Below are 16,869 nucleotides of genomic sequence, written 5' to 3'. Positions count from 1 at the left end.
GTCTACTAAAGCATATGTGTGTTTACGCTAAGATGACTAAATTGCTTCACCTTAAGAACAATAATGATCTGGCGTGTATCTTTCTTTTGTGATTCATGCTGATTTTTTTTTTTTTTAGGCGGAGTCTTACTCTGTCACCTAGGCTGGTGTGCAGTGGTGTGATCTTAGCTCACTGCAGCCTCCGCCTCCTGGGTTCAAGTAATTCTTCTGTCACACAGTTATTTTTAAAGCATACCAGTAATTTGTTTGACTGATTTGTTTTCAATTAAAACAACTTTTAATTTTTTTCTAGGGTCTCCCTGTGTTGCCCAGGCTGGTCTTGAACTCCTGGCCTCAAGTGATCCTCCTGCCTCAGGCTCCCAAAGTGCTGGGATGACAGCATGAGCCACACCGTTCCTGGCTTTGACTGATTTTTTTTTTTGAGGAAACTAGTTCTGTCTTCTAGCACTGGCTTCCGTCTGTTGGGTCCTCTGACAGCCCTTGTCTGTTGCCCATGGATGATTACAGAGTAGTAGGTCCTATCACTGGCTAAGTCTGTGACCCTCATCTGTATTGTTTCACTTGGGAGAAGTTGTCAACGGAGGCTCATAGTAGATGGTTTTCTGTTGATTTTGATGGAACTAAATGTATTGTTTCCTTCCTTTTGCTTTTATATATACTTAAACATTCAGTTTCCTGTTCTTCATAGTAAAATATTCCTAAAATTGTGGTTCTCTGTATTTTAACCCTTCGTATTTCATTATTTTTCTATAGTTTTATGCCTCTTCTGTTTGGAAAGTCATATTTTTCATTGGCTTGCTTTTAGTCATTTAAATTACAGTATCAGGCTGAAGTTAGTGATTTAATCTTAATTGATGGTTACAGATCAAACTCCTTATTCTACTCTTTCCCTCTTCTCACTGCTGTATTTGACTATTCTAAAAAAAAAATCGCAGTATCTCCTCTTTTTCCCTCTTGACATCCCTTTTTGTAATTCCTAATTTTTTCATGTCTTAAGTTTTTTTCCTACCTTAAAGTTCCTTTGCCTTTTAGTTGCAGTTTTGATTAAAGTGGATTTTTTCTTGGGCTTTTAATTAGATTTTCTTTTCCTTCAGCTTTTCATAGGGAGATTGAAGATGATGCTGACTGACACTTGGGTCAGTGGCCTGATTACTTAGAATAAGACTGTGAACATTGAGTGGCTTGAATATAGCATTTAACTTAGCCTGTGGATGTTTCCACTTCTACTTGAAGGCTATTTCCTGGCTTAGAGGCACTGTCCTGAAAAATAACAAAATGAATATAAATTAAACACCCCATGTATTCTTGTGTAGTGCCCATTTGAATCAAGATGAGATCTGAGATCTGGGTGGCCTATGGCAGAATACTATTTATAACTCTAGAAACAATATTTTACTAAGGGATATGTTGATTACATTGGAGAGAACTACTAGGTTATATGATAGTAGTTTAAAACATAATTTATATATGCTACATAATTCCTGTTTTGTTTTGTTTTTTTTTTTTTTTTGAGACGGAGTTTCGTTCTTGTTGCCCAGGCTGGAGTGTAATGGTGCAATCGCGGCTCACCACAACCTCTGTCTCCTAGGTTCAAGCGATTCTCCTGCCTCAGCCTCCTGAGTAGTTGGGATTACAGGCATGTGCCACCACGCCCAGCTAATTTTGTATTTTTGGTAGAGACGGAGTTTCTCCATGTTGGTCAGGCTGGTCTCGAACTCCTGACCTCAGATGATCTGCCGGCCTTGGCCTCCCAAAGTGCTGGGATTACAGGCGTGAGCCACTGTGCCCGGCCATGTAATTCCTGTTTCTTCTGGCTTCACTAAAATGTCCTGAACTGTGATAGCCTCTGTGCATAAGAAAAATAAGCCATGACTCCTGGTTGGCATGAGAAGACCTAGAGTCCATTTCCACCTGAACTATGGGCTTGAAGTATGATTATGTGCCCTACTTCCTTAGCTGTCAAATAGGGACAGTAGTACATAAACTGAAATGAACAAATAGATATGGAAATACCTTGAAAATATAAAAATGCATGCTGGATATGTGGCATGTCTATAGTTCCAGCTACTTGGAAGGCAGAGGCTGGAGGATTGCTTTGGCCCAGGAATTTGAGGCCAGCCTGGGCAACGTAGAAAACTTTGTCTCCTAAAAAGAAAAAAAAAAGTGGGGGGCCGGGGGCGGTGGCTTACACCTGTAATCCCAGCACTTTGGGAGGCCGAGGCGGGCAGGTCACAAAGTCAGGAGTTCGAGACCAGCCTGGCCAACATGATGAAACCCCATCTCTACTAAAAATACAAAAATTACCCTGGCATGGTGGCAGGCACCTGTAATCCCAGCTACTTGGGAGGCTGAGACAAGAATCACCTAAACCCGGGAGGCAGAGGTTACAGTGAGCCAAGATTGCACCACTGCACTCCAGCCTGAGCGACAGAGCAAGACTCCGTCTTGCGGGGAATAAAAGACAGTCTGGGTAACATAGGGAGACCCTGTCTTTACAAAAATAATAAAAAATATTAGCTGGGCGTGATGGTGCATTCTTATGGTTCTGGCTACTTGGGAGGCTGAGATGGGATGATCACCTGAGCCTGGGAAGTTGAGGCTGCAGTGTGACATGATGGCACCACTGCACTCCAACCTGGGTGACAGCCATCCTCTCACCTCAGCCACCCCTCCCTCCCCACCTTCTGGCAGTAGCTAGGACTACAAGTGCATGTCACCACACCTGGCCAGTTTTTTTTTTATTTGTTTTGTTTTGTTTTGTAAAGATGGGGTTTTGCCGTGTTGCCCAGGCTGGTTTCGAATTTTTGGGCTTATGCAATCCACCCACCTTGGCCTCCCAAAGTGCAGGGATTACAGGCATGAGCCATCTTGCTGGGCCACCTTTTTCTTCTCTTTTAACAAATTCAGCAATTTTTCAGTCCCAGAAATCTGTAAATACATTTTTTGTGGAAAAATACAATGGGAATGGCATCAAAAGATGGTTTCTATTAGGAATGGGAACAGGTAGCAGTTTTCCCTGCCACCTCAACAATCACAGGTCCAGGACCCTTTAATATAAAGATGTAGAGAGAGCCAGAGTTAGCTTTTAGTTCCTGAAATGATTTCAGAGGCTTTTTTTTTTTTTTTTTTTTTTTTGAGACGGAGTCTCGCTCTGTTGCCCAGGCTGGAGTGCAGTGGCACGATCTCGGCTCACTACAAGCTCTGCCATTCTCCTGCCTCAGCCTCCGGAGTAGCTGGGACTTTACTTTTGTATTTTTAGTAGAGACGGAGTTTCACCATGTGTTAGCCAGGATGTTCTCCATCTCCTGACCTCATGATCTGCCCACCTCGGCCTCCCAAAGTGCTGGGATTACAGGCATGAGCCACCGCGCCCAGCCTTCAGAGGCCATTTTTTTCTCTCTCAAAAAAAAAAAATTTTTTTTTTTTTGAGACAGTCTTGCTTTGTCACCCAGGCTGGAGTGCAGTGGTACGATCTTGGCTCACTGCAACCTCCACCCCCTGGGTTCAAGCGATTCTCGTGCCTCAGCCTCTCCTGAGTAGGTGGGACTACAGGCATGAGCCACCACATTTGGCTAATTTTTTTGTATTTTTAGTAGAGATGAGGTTTTGCCATGTTGGCCAGGCTGGTCTGGACTCCTGGCCTCAAGTGATCCACCTGTCTTGGCCTCCCAAAGTGCTGGGATGACAGGTGTTATAGTACCTGCCCTCAAATTGTTTATTCCAGTCTAATCATCAAGGAAATAAGATCTGAAGAGTCAAAGAGTAACTTGTAATTAGAACAGTTAATATGGGTCCTTTCTTTCCGCCCTCTGAACGGTCCTGACTCAGAGTTATCTGGTTAAGTGCCTCTTCTCATGAGAAGTTAATATAATTTAGGTTTTCTCACTTTTGGTTTGGTTATTTGGCATAGTTTCTTCCTGTAGGAAGCGGCCATATTTTTACCACTTCTTAGGAGAATACAGGTGCTGACAAATTCCTTGCATCCCCAAGTCCATTTTGCTTGGGTCTTAACCTCTTTGCAGTTTTCTGGGATGCTGATTGCCAGCCTTGTTGTTGTGGGACTGGCTTTGAAATCCAAGACATCTTTTGAGGATATCAAAGTACTGTAAAGGATGGAAATGTTAAGGTTGCAAAATGCTTGGAGAGTATCACATGCTGTTGATAGGCTTATTGTAGTGATTTCTGAGCCTTAGAAATTTAGGCCTTTGATACAGCTGTCATGAAGGTGAGCCTCAGCCCCATCTGTGAATTTCTCCAGAATCATTCAGTTTAGGCTCCCAGTATCAAAATAGAGCCTTCTTTCTTTCTTTCTTTCTTTTTTTTTTTTTTTTTTTTGGAGATGGAGTCTCATTCTGTCTCCCAGGCTGGAGTGCAGTGGCGCGATCTCAGCTCACTGCAACCTCTGCCTCCTGGGTTCTAGCAATTCTCCTGCCTCGGCCTCCAAAGTAGCTGAGATTACAGGCGCCCGCCACCATGCCCAGCTAATTTTTGTATTTGTAGTAGAAACGGGGTTTCACCGTGTTGGCCAGGCTGGTCTCGAACTCCTGACCTCAAGTGATCCGCCCACCTCGGCCTCCCAAAGTGCTGGGATTACAAGCGTGAGCCACTGCACCCGGCCTTCCTGCTTCTTTATGTTCCGCTATCCGATCCTCACAGCTTCTTTAAACCTTCCTAATATTGAGAAACATACCCGATGTAAGACACTGTTAAAAAGAATCCAGCATCTGGGGGAGGTGTTAGGGAATTGAATGTTGCTAAAGCACCAAAGAGAGAGGAGTTTGACTATTTTGAGCTTGTCTGTGACACCTGTTTTGTTTGGAAAATGCTAATGAAACTAGTTGGCAGAGCTGCATTTTTGAAGTTGTTTCATTTAGTCACAGTGATAGTCATCTGTCTTCTTTTAGGAGGTGATTGTCTAGGAGTAACTGTATGTGCGCTCAGCACCGGGTCACAACCACCGTGGGATCCACTTACAGAGAAGATTTGTGGAGAGCTTCAGCCTGTTTATGGTGTTACTGAGAAAGGAATTGTGGCCATTTGATATAATTCTGGATGGAAGACCTCTTATTTGTATTACATTGAATTAGAGGTCAGTATTTGAAATTTTCTCCTTGAGTGGCTATTATAAGAGGATCCCGTAAGAATTGATTACTGTGAAATTAGCCAACTACATAGTGTATTTCAAAGATAAGGTAAACTGTTGGACTTGTGATTACCTGGTTTCTGGTATGAATTACTGAACTTATGTTTGTTTTTATGTGCATAGATAAAGCTATATGCTTGATACTCTTTCAATTATAAACTTAATGGGTTATAAGAATTTATAACTTGGGCTTCATTAAGTGAAGAAGGCGCTCTTATACTTTGTCTTTTTGTTTTGTTTTCTTTTTTTTTTTCCTTCTTTTGAGACAGGGTCTTGCTTTGTTGCCCAGGCTGGAGTGGTGCAATTATAGTTCACTGCAGCCTTGACCTCCTGGGCTCAAGCGATCCTCCCACCTTGGCCTTCCAAAGTATTAGGATTACAGGTGTGAACTATCATGCCCGGCCTAATTTATCTTTGTTAAGCTTCACCTGTTCTGTTGATGATAAATTCTGGGAGATGATGGTGTCCTTTGTCTTTAAATGGTTTCTGACAAGTTTTCTTTTCTTAGTATTTTCTACTTTTGTTTGACTCTTAAAGAGTTATAGGTTTGAAACTAATGTCTACTGCCTCTCCCTCTTCTCGTATGATTCCTGTGGGTGTCCAGGAGCTATGTGTTTAGTTTGAAAAGAAGAGATTTCAGAATAATCATGCTTCCCGTATACTTACACTGATCATGAAAAGTAAAATTTATTCTGAAAAGATAGACCAGTTGCTTAGTAAGTGAAATGTAACTTGTTGTAGAAATGATCTGTAATTTCAGGCCATATTTTCTAGGAAGGTGCTGTCATCTAAGTCTCCCTTCCCCTGGGCATTTGGCTGTTAATAAGGGATTATCTGAGTGATATTTTGGGCTTGCCCATTCATTTGGCAGAATTTTATTTTTTTAGTGTCTCTTGCAAGATATAATGCTAGGCATTGGGGATATAAAGATGAGTAAGATGTGTCCCTACCCTCCTGGAGGTCATGATGAAAAGTGGGGAACAGATATGAAAAAAACCCCACTAAAATACAGACTGAAAGAACTGTAGTAATAGTAGAAACATGATGCTCCAACAATGTAGAGAGTCATTAAGTGTGCATATACTATCTTGGGCATTTGCATAGCACTTAGGGAGTTAACAAGTTGGTGTTTATCTTGGCAGACCACCTTCAGGCAGCTACCTTTATTGTGGGTGTGTGACCTCATGTAACTTGAGTGGGATTTTCCATGTCATTAGTAGTTCCTAGGGAGTAGAGAGTAAATCTCTTTTTGGAAGAGGTTGTATTCTCCTGAATCCAAAATACCTTTCTGTATGTTTTGTTGTCTTTTAAGAATATTTCTCAGACGTTATATAAGTAATTTCATTTTTTCTGAGTCCCTTCTTTGGAAAAGGAGTTCTTGCCAAATGAAAGGGACACAGTGTTTGGTTTTTCAGTTCATTATGAAACCCCTACCACCCTGTCTCCCTAAAGAAGTAAAGCCTGGGCCGGGTGCGGTGGCTCATGCCTGTAATCCCAGCATTTTGGGAGGCTGAGGTGGGTGGATCACTTGAGGTCAGTAATTTGAGACCAGCCTGGCCAACATGGCCAAAACCCATCTCTACTAAAAATACAAAAAAATTATTTGGGCATGGTGGCGCATGCCTATAATCCCAGCTACTCGGGAGGCCGAGGTACGAGAATTGCTTGAACCTGGGAGGTGGAGATTGCAGTGATCTGAGATCGTGCTACTACACTGCAGCCTGGATAACAAGAGCAAGACTCTGTAAGTAAAGCCTGACCTTTTTTCTTCCTAGAAAATGGCTTAGTTTATTTCTATATGAAGGATTTGAAAAACTGTAAAAATAATTCATTAGCATCTTATAAATTGATACAGGGATTACCTTGGAGCTTTATTAAACTCTAGGCTGTTGGTTATACCTATTACCTTCATATTTCTCTTAGTGGTATTAAATCTATTCATTTATCAAATAGATTAGATTTATTATTTATTTGTATTATTAGCTACATAGTATAGAAGGTACTGGGGAGACTTGTAATATGGTGGGGTTTGCCCACATTAGGAACACATGTTTTTCCTCATGTTTAATTTTTTTTGGGGGGGTGTCCTTTAACTATCTCGCGTTTCAGTACATATGCCATTTCCTGTCCCAAAGGAGCACATAAGTCTAGTCCTAATCTTGGTGCTTGAACCCGCAGTTCCAGAGAAAAGCAACTGGCACTGAATGCTCTCTGGCTCATCTTTCCATCCAGGATCTGTCAGCTAGCCAACAGGTGTGGGAGGTGTGTTTTCCAAGTTTAATGTTGCTGTTAGTGGGATACAAAAGAAATAAAAGTTACTATCTTTGGCCTCAGAATTTAGGAGGGAAGCCTTGCAAGAATACAACATTTAGAGATTTCTAGAACAAAAGCGGAATTTAACCAAGTACTTACTGTTTAGCATAACAAATTTAGTTCAGTTTCAGGTTAGAGATTGGTGTGGATTAAATAAGTTGACCAAAGATCCATTGAAAAGCTGAGTGGGCCATCGAAGAATGGGTGCTGTTTGAATAGCAGACTGGGAGAGCAGGTTAGGACAGTCCAGGCAGGGGTCGGCCTGAGGCAGGAATGCATATGGTATGCGCAGCGTTCAGTAAAGAGAACCTGGTTGAAGTACAGAATTTGTGGGGAGGAATAGTGCCAGATAAGTTAGGTAGACCAAAGAAGACAGGCTTGGAATGCTAGGCACGGAGTGTCTGTTGGCACCTGAAGGGAATTGGGGCGAGGTAATAAGGTAGCACGTCAGCCAGAGACTGGAGAGTACATCTCTGTCTGAGTAATTTTGGCCCCAAATTTGTAATGTGGGGATGGGAAGTGTATTGGTCAGTCCTGATAAAGAGTTATGTGTGCATCTGTGTGACGTGTTAAAATTGCTTCCTGCCACTGCTCGTGTTTGGTCAGATAGTAGGTTAGGCTGAAGGAAAGAGAGGTAGTAGCCACAGGACAGATAAGCTTTGAGAAGCCAGAGTGGTTGGTAAAGTATTTGGCTTTCATTTAGTATCTCTCATATATATATATATATATATATATTTTTTTTTTTTTTTTTTTTGGTAGAGAGGAGGTCTTGCTGTGTTGCCCAGGCTGGTTTCGAACTCCTGGGATCAAGCAACCCTCCCCCATCGGCTTCCCCAAATGCTGGGATTACAGGTGTGAGCCACTGTGCCCAGCCTAGTATCATATTTTATACAAGATAAATTTTACCAAAAATTCTACCATCAAATATAGAAGTTACTTTAGTTTTTTAAAAAATAATAGTTCACATATTCTGTTTCATGTCTTCTCTTGCCTCTCACCCTGAGCACCCACTGATTCATACCTGTTTATCTCCCCCTCCTTTGCTTCTTAGCTCCTGTTTATTCTTCAGGTCTGAGTTTTGGGATCATTTCATTTGGAAAGCCTCAGGGCTGTGCCCAGGGTGCTCTGCCTGGCCCCTGTACTCCCCCGAGCCATCTCTTATGCCTCACTGTAATCCCACCTGTACTTGTCAGTGGCTTTGCTACCCTGTGTGCTCTGAAAGCACAGGGACGAGTCTTGTTTGCTCCTGAATCCTCATCTGTCAGGGCTGGTCAGGCACATAGATGCTACATGGTTAGTAAATATTTGTGCAATATAAAGGTTGGACTTCTTTGTTACTATCATTACAGCTTCTTAAAAAAAAAAAAAAACACTGGCTGGGCGCAGTGGCTCACGCCTGTAATCCCAGCACTTTGGGAGGCCGAGGCAGGTAGATAATGAGGTCAGGAGTTCGAGACCAGCCTGGCCAACATGGTGAAATCCCATCTCTACTAAAAATACAGAAATTAGCTGGGTGTGGTGGCACACATCTGTAATCCCAGCTGCTGAGGAGGCTAAGGCAGGAGAATCGCTTGAACTTGGGAGGAGGTGGTTGCAGTGAGCCGAGATCGCGCCACTGCGCTCCAGCCTGGGCAACAAGAGGAAGACTCCGTCTCAAAAAAAAAAAAAAAAAAACTCCTTGATAAACACCTTTGTGCTTCTATGTAGTCATTATTAACATATATTAAAAATTACTATATTATTATAACGTTATGATGTTATTATAACACATTAACATAACATGGTTGTATTATGTTTTTTTCACATGTATATTCCTTAAGTATTTTCCTATTATTGGGCACTTGGCTTATTTCCATTTTTCTTTTTTGTACTCTATCTAGTACTACAACCATAAACTTCTTGTACATACAGCACTTCTTTTTAATGCTTTTATTTTTTTGAGACAGGGTCTTACTCTGTCACCCAGGCTGGAGTGCAGTGGCACCATCATGGCTAACTGCAGCCTTGACCTCCCGGGCTCAAGCCGTCCTCCCACCCCAGCTTCCGAAGTAGCTGGGACTACAGGTGTGCGCCACTATGCCTGGCTAATTTTTGTATTTTTTGTAGAGATGGGGTTTTGCCATGTTGCCCAGGCTGGTAATACTTTTAAATTAAGAACGATAAAGGAAAACCATACACCAAAGCACATTTTTTTTTTTTTTTTTTTGAGGCAGAGTCTTCCTCTGTTGCCCTGGCTGAAGTGCAGGGTCATGATCTCGGCTCACTGCAACCTCTGCTACCAGTATTCAAGCCATTCTCCTGCCTCAGCCTCCCAAGTAGCTGGGATTACAGGCACCCACCACGACGCCTGGCTAATTTTTGTAATTTTAGTAGAGACGAGGTTTCACCATGTTGGCCAGGGTGGTCTGGAACTCCTGACCTCAGGTGATCCGCCTGCCTTGGCCTCCCCCAAAGTGCTGGGATTACAGGTGTGAGCCACTGTGCCTGGCCAAAGCACTGTTTTTTTTAAAGGTGTGTATGTTTGTTTATATATTGTGTTTAACTTCAAAATGAGTGGTCTATAAAATAGCATTTGTTCTGCCCAGATTTCATTTTATAGGGAAATAAATGCTTCAGTTCTGACTCAGATTAAACAAATTATAAAATGAGGCAACCATGATACTCAGACAAAGAGAGAGACACTGACAGGGTGTACGGATGGTACCATTTTAAGTAGGTTATTTAGGGATGGCTTCTCTGAAGAGGTGACATTTGGACAAGGCCTTGAACAGGCTAGGGAGCCATGCGGAGGTATAGGAATAGAGCCTTCCAGGCAGAGGGAACATCAGGTGCAAAAATCCCGAGGTGGAAGCCTGCTGGTTTGGTCAAGGAACAGTGGAAAAACTCTGGGAGAACAGTAGGAGGTGATACCAGGAAAGAGGGGCAGGAGCCAGGCCATAAAGTTCCCTGTGGACCATGCTAAGACCTCTGGCTTTCATTCCAAGTATAATGCCACTGGAAGGTTTTCATCAGGTGTGTGTGACAGAATCTGATCTCTGTCTTATAAAGATCACTTTGGCTGCTGTGTGAAAGTTAGACTGCGATCTTTACCAGCTGGAACCATGGAGGGTGTTGAAGAGAAGAAGAAGGTTCCTGTTGTGCCAGAAACCCTTAAGAAAAAGCAAAGGAATTTCACAGAGCTGAAGATCAAGCTCCTGAGAAAGAAGTTTGCCCAAAACATGCTTTGAAAGGCAAGGAGGGAGCTTATTTATGAAAAAGCATAGTGCTATCACAAGGAATATAGGCAGATGTACAGAACTGAAATTCGAATGGCAAGGATGGCAAGAAAAGCTGGCAACTTCTGTGTACCTGCAGAACCCAAATTGGCCTTTGTCATCAGGACCAGAGGTGCCAATGGTGTGAGCCCAGAGGTCTGAAAGGTGTTGCAGCTTCTTCGCCTTTATCAAATCTTCAGTGGAACCTTTGTGAAGCTCAACAAGGCTTCAGTTAACATGCTGAGGATTGTAGAGCCATATATTACATGGGGGAACCCAAATCTGAAGTCAGTAAATGAACTAATCTACAAGCGTGGTTATGGCAAGATGAATAAACAAATTGCTTTGACAGATAACGCTTTGATTGCTCTATCTCTTGGTAAATATGGCATCATCTGCATGGAGGATCTGATTCATGACATCTATACTGTTGGAAAACGCTTTAAAGAAGCAAATAACTTCCTGTGGCCCTTCAAATTATTTTCTCCACAAGATAGAATGAAGAAAAACCACCCATTTTGTAGAAGGTGGAGATGCTGGCAACAGGGAGGACCAGATCCACAGGCTTCTTAGAAGAATGAACCGAGGTGTTTACCACAATTATTTTTCTAGTCTGATCAGTTTAAATAAACAGTAGCTGCTCTCAAGTTGAAAAAAAAGAAAGTTAGACTGCTGCCAGTCAGAGTGGAAGCAGGCAGACTGATGAGGAGTGTGGCCAGACTCTGCAGGGGATGTGCTGTGGGCCTGGGTTAGTGTGGTAGTCGTGGAGGTGATGAAGAGCGGTTGGGTTTGGAATTTGATAAAATGATGTGTTCTGAGATGTGAAAGTCTTACCAGTATTTAAAAAAACAGCTCAAGGCAGGCCGAGCGCGATGGCTCATACCTGTAATCCCAGCACTTTGGGAGGCCGAGGTGGGCAGATCACTTGAGGTCAGGAATTCGAGACCAGCTTGGCTAACATGGTGAAACCCCATTGCTACTAAAAATACAAAAATTAGCTGGGCGTGGTGGTTGGCACCTGTAATCTCAGCTACTCAGGAGGCTGAGGCAGGAGAATTGCTTGAACCCGGGAGGCGGAGGTTGCAGTGAGCCAAGACTGCGCCATCACACTCCAGCCTGGGGACAAGAGTGAGACTTCGTCTCAAAAAAAAGCAGCTCAAGGCAAATTATGAGTTAATTAGAGTTTAAAATGCCTTTGTCTTCAAAGTATGTCATAGATTCTGTATCCTTGAAATTCCTCTGTTGGAGAATGGAACCAGGAAAGGTAAGGACTAGGACTTGGTTGCATTGTGAATCCACTTGCTGATGGAACAAGAAAGATGGAACAGCAGATGTGCATATTTTCCTCTGTAATGGTCATTGATTTAATATAAAAGATATGTCTGAAGAATGTATGCTTGGATAAGTAATATGCTGAATTCTGGTGTTTGGTGTGATTGTATTAGCCTAGACCTGTTTAGTAGTAACTTTGAAATATGTTGCAGCAATAATAAGGAATGTAGTGGGTGCCTTTCTGCTGTTATCAAAATCCATTAACAGGTTTTCCTATGCTTGACTGCCTTTCATTGTTACGCTTTATGGTTCATACTGAGGGGGCATGTAAATGACATCTCTTCTATGGTTTCTCAAGGTCTTTAAAACAGTGTTGTATTTTGAGTAAATATCTGTTTATTCCATAGTAAGGATAGATGCTAGACAGGTTATGATTTGCTTTGGTTCTACTCCCCTACTTTGGATAGGATTTTACCTAGGTGGAGCATTGGATCATGTTCTTGAGCTGTGTGGAACTTTGATTTGCTTATGTGAATGCTTCACACTGCTGGCCACCCTTTGTTGCTTAAGCAGTAGAGACATAAGCTCATCCTGGGTACACCTTTTAGTGTGCAAGGTTCTGTGAAAAGTGGGTGAAGGTGCTTCTCAAGCCATTAAATTGTAGTGGACTGTCTTTTTTTCTTTAGCAAAATTTGGTTTTGGGAGTATGAAATTTAAACTTGTGTCTGCCATTTGTAAGATACGAAGTCATAGTATGAGTGTTTTTGGGGTTTTGTTTGCTTTTTTTAGAGTTGGGGTCTTTTAGGATAGAATTCCCTTTTCCTTAACCACTTAAAGCTTGAGAACAAAGATTTGGAAACCTTTTTTGGGTAGCAGATCACTTCATTAATCTGATAAAAACTGTGAATTCTGTTTCCAGAAAAAGACATATACATATACACGTTCGTTCAACAGATTTATTCAGCGTGTGTTTATTGAACAGCTACTATCTGCCAGGCATAGTTTATAGATGTTTAGAATACACCAGTGAACAAAAGAGAAAAAAAACCCCAAGCAAACCTAAAAACCCTGCCTCTGTGGAGCTTATATTCTATGGAATCCAATGGGTAATAAACAAGAATGTTATGTAGTATATTAGAGTATGATAAATGCTGTGGAAAAAAATAGATACTGTAAGGGAGTTTGAAAGAAGTGGAAAGATGGTGGTGGTTGCAATTTAAATAGGGGAGTCAGGATAGGCCTCATGGAGAGGATGATGTTTGAGCAAAAGGCTAAAATGTGTGGGAGTTTGCCATGTGAAGTTCTGCAGCGTGAGCTTCCCAGACAGAGGAGAATAGTCAGTGGAAAGGTCCTGAAGTGGGCACAAGGAAGACAGCGTGGTGGGAGCAGAATGAGCAGGGGGTAGAGTGGTGTGTCAGTTTCCTGGGGCTGCCATTACAAGCACATGCTTGGTGGCTTAACACAACAGACATTTATTGTGCCACAGTTGTGGAGGCCAGAAGTCTGAAATCAAGGTGTCGGTTGGCAGGGTTAGTTCCTTCTGGGGGCTCTTAGGGACAGCCCATTCCATACTTCCTCCTTGCTTCTGGTGGCTGCTGGCAATCTTTGGTGGCAGTCCCCAGGAACTGGGGATTAGGACTTGGACATATCTTTCTGGGGACCACCCATTCAGTCTACGATGTCTGTTGTGACTTCTGAGGTAGATGTTCACCGGTAAGGGGCTGGGGGAATGTAAAGGTGCTTCTTGGGGCCTTTTCAGGACTTTGGCTTAAATTGAAATGGGGAAGGCACTGGATGGTTTTGAGCAAAGAAGTGACATGATGTGATTTGCATTTTCTCTTCTTTTTTTAAAAAATTTAATTTCTGTTTAGTAGAGACAGCTCTCCTTAGGTTGCCCATGCTGGTCTCAAACTCCTGAGTTCAAACAGTCCTCCCACTTCGGCCTCCCATAGTGCATTATTTGCATTTTAAAAGGACAGAAGACTCCTTTGTGGACAGCAGACTGGGACAACAGGCTAGAAATAATGAGATAGGTGGGAGGCTATCATGATAATAATTCATGTGAGAAATGGTGGTGCTTCATCCATTTGCTAGTAGACTTGTGAAAAGTATATGACTTCTGGATGTATTTTGAAGATAGAGCGACAGTATTTTCTGATGAGTTTTTAAATTTTTTTAGTCAGAATCTCACTCTGTTGCCCAGGCTGCAGTGCAGTGGTGTGAACACGGCTCACTGCAGCCTTGACCTCCCTGGCTCAGGTGATCCTTCTACCTCAGCCTCCCAAGTAGATGGGAATATAGGCATGTGCCACCATGCTCAGCTAATTTTAAAAACTTTCTGTAGAAATGGGGTCTCACTATGTTGCCCAGGCTGGTCTTGAACTCCTGGGCTCACATGATCCTCTTGTCTCGCCCTCCCCAAGTGTTGGAATTATAGGCATGAACCACCATGCCTGGTCTCTGATGAATTTCACTGTAGGGTAGGGGTTGAAAGAAAGGAGTCAAGGATGATTCCAAGGTTTGGGACTGTGCAGCTCAAAGGATGGGGTTGTCAGGAGCTGACATGGGAAGGCTGTGTTTAGAGCAGATTATTTGTTTGTTTTTTAAGATGGAGTCTCACTGTGTCTCCCAGGCTGGAGTGTAGTGGCGCAGTCTTGGCTCACTTCACCCTCCACCTCCCGGGTTCAAGTGATTCTCCTGCCTCGGCCTCCTGAGTAGCTGAGACTACAGGTGCCTGCTACCACATCCAGCTAATTTTTGTGTTTTTAGTAGAGACAGGATTTCACCATTTTGGCCAGGCTGGTCTCGAATTCCTGACCTCAAGTGATCTGCCCACCTCGGCCTCCCAAAGTGCTGGGATTACAGGTGTGAGCCACCGCGCCTGGCCTCTTGAGCTTACTTTGGACACACCAAGGTTAAAGTAGTATTAGATACTCAAGTGGAGATGCCAAGTAGACAGTTTTAAGATGGTGTAAGAGTCTGGAATTCATGTGAGAAACCTGGGTTGGAGATACCTAGTTGTGAGTGTGTGGCAAGTGTAAGTAAAGCTGGGAAACCAGAAGAGATTACCAGTGGAGTATAGGGAAGAGAAGAGAAAAAGTTCAAGGACGAAGTCCAGGGACGTTAAAAAGTCTGAGACAACAGTCAGCAACAAAAGCTGATAAGAGATCAGCAAAAAAGGAGGAAAACCAAGAAATCATAGACTATATTATATGGCATCCTGGAAGCCAGATGAGAAAAACGTATTCAAGCAGGAGGGGTAGATGAAGTGTGTCAAAAATCTGCTAAAAATCAGCTTAGGACTGAGAACTGATCATTGGATTTAGCAATGTGGACAGATGATCTTGGCAAGATTAGTTTCAGGGCAGGGTTTGTTTCATCATTCTTATTGGAGTGGGTTTAAGAGAGAATGAAAGGAGAATTTGAGAGAGTGAGTATAGCACCTTTTTGAGGATATTTGCTGTAAAGGAGAATAGAGAAATAGGTTTGGAGCTAGTGGAAATTCAGTGAAGACATTTACAGAAGTAGCACGCTGCCTCAAAATCAGGTATAATTTCAGGGGATTAATGGGTCCCCCAAATCCCTCTGTGAACCTGCAATTTAAAAACTGCTTGTCAGTAAAACCATGAGGCAGTAACTTCATTTCCTTCCTTGAGATTTCTTTTATATTAAGATGTTGCATGGTTTGGTAATTTAGATCACTACAAGGAATGAGAATTCCTATGTGTCTTCAGTTTTCTTTGTAAGGAATAGGCCTCGGTAGAAATTGGCCTTACATTTTTGGAAATCTATTTTATGCTAAGTATTTACCCAGGCATTCTAGATGAATTTAATCTTTATCACAATCCTGTGTAACAGGTATTATCCCCGTTTTATAATTGTGAGAAAATGGAGGCACGGAGAGATTCAATAACTTTCCCAAAGTAACTCAGCTAGGAAGTGGCAGAGCAGAGTTTTATTTTATTTTGTTTTTTATTTATTTGTTTTAAGACAGGGTCTCACCCTGTTGCCCAGGCTGGAATGCAGTGGGACAGTCATAGCTCACTGCAGCCTTGACTTCCCAGGCTTAAGCAACCCTCCTACCACAGCCTCTGGGACACAGGCGTGTGCCACCACACCCAGCTAATTTAAAAAAAAGTTGTTTTTTTTTTTTTGAGACGGAGTCTTGCTCTGTCACCAGGCTCTGGAGTACAGCGGCATGATCTTGGCTCACTGCAACCTCCATCTCCAGGGTTCAAGTGATTTTCCTACCTCAGCCTCCTGAGTAGCTGGGACAACAGGTGTGTGCCACCATGCCCAGCTAATTTTTGTATTTTTAGTAGAGACGGGGTTTCACCATGTTGGCCAGAATGGTCTTGATCTCTTGAGCTTGTGATCCGCCTGCCTTGGGCTCTGAAAGTGCTGGGATTGCATGTGTGAGCCACCGTGCCTGGCCGAGAATTTTTTTTTTTTGTACAGACAAGGTCTCCCTATGTTGCCCAGGCTGGTCTCAACCCTCTGGGCTCAAGTGATTCTTCTACCTTGGCCTCCCAGAGTGCTGCGATTACAGACATGAGCTACCGCGCCTGGCCTCATGGTTCTTTAATTGTGGATGCTAATAAAGTTTGTGAGTGTGGGGCAGAGAAGTGAGGTGTAGGTAGGTGTTGAAGGGCAAGTGGTGCTTGGGAATTCTTTGAGATTTTCAGTTGGAAGATTCTCTGAAAGAGGAAGCATTGTCCTCATGGATTGCTCTCAGATGACATAAAATAGATATAGTAAGATTACAATAGTTTTTATTCTAAGGACTTGAGAATAGCTTCTTTTCCTCCAGCAGAGAGGTAAGCATCCTGTTCCATTGTGTGATAGTTGTTGGCTGACACACAGATCTACTTTTTCTATTTCCAGCGG

General features: G+C 42.7%; 1 protein-coding gene and 1 pseudogene across 2 annotated transcripts in view; both read left to right on the top strand.

Moving 5' to 3' along the window:
- The window catches only part of RERE (arginine-glutamic acid dipeptide repeats), a 465,237-nt gene that overhangs the window by 20,148 nt on the left and 428,220 nt on the right, over positions 1-16,869 (top strand). The window contains exon 2 of one of the 2 annotated variants that reach the window (NM_012102.4): positions 4,905-5,089. The exons of the other annotated variant lie outside the window; for it this stretch is intronic. The gene's annotated coding sequence lies outside the window, so the exon portion shown is untranslated. The remainder of the gene's footprint in view (positions 1-4,904; positions 5,090-16,869) is intronic. 2 annotated transcript variants of the gene reach the window in all.
- On the top strand, positions 10,542-11,364 carry RPL7P7 (ribosomal protein L7 pseudogene 7; annotated as a pseudogene).

This window comes from Homo sapiens, chromosome 1, assembly GCF_000001405.40.
Source record: "Homo sapiens chromosome 1, GRCh38.p14 Primary Assembly".
NCBI classification, from domain to species: domain Eukaryota; kingdom Metazoa; phylum Chordata; class Mammalia; order Primates; family Hominidae; genus Homo; species Homo sapiens.
The sequence above is the reverse complement of the archived record's forward strand: the minus strand, read 5'-3'. Positions and strand labels throughout refer to the sequence as shown.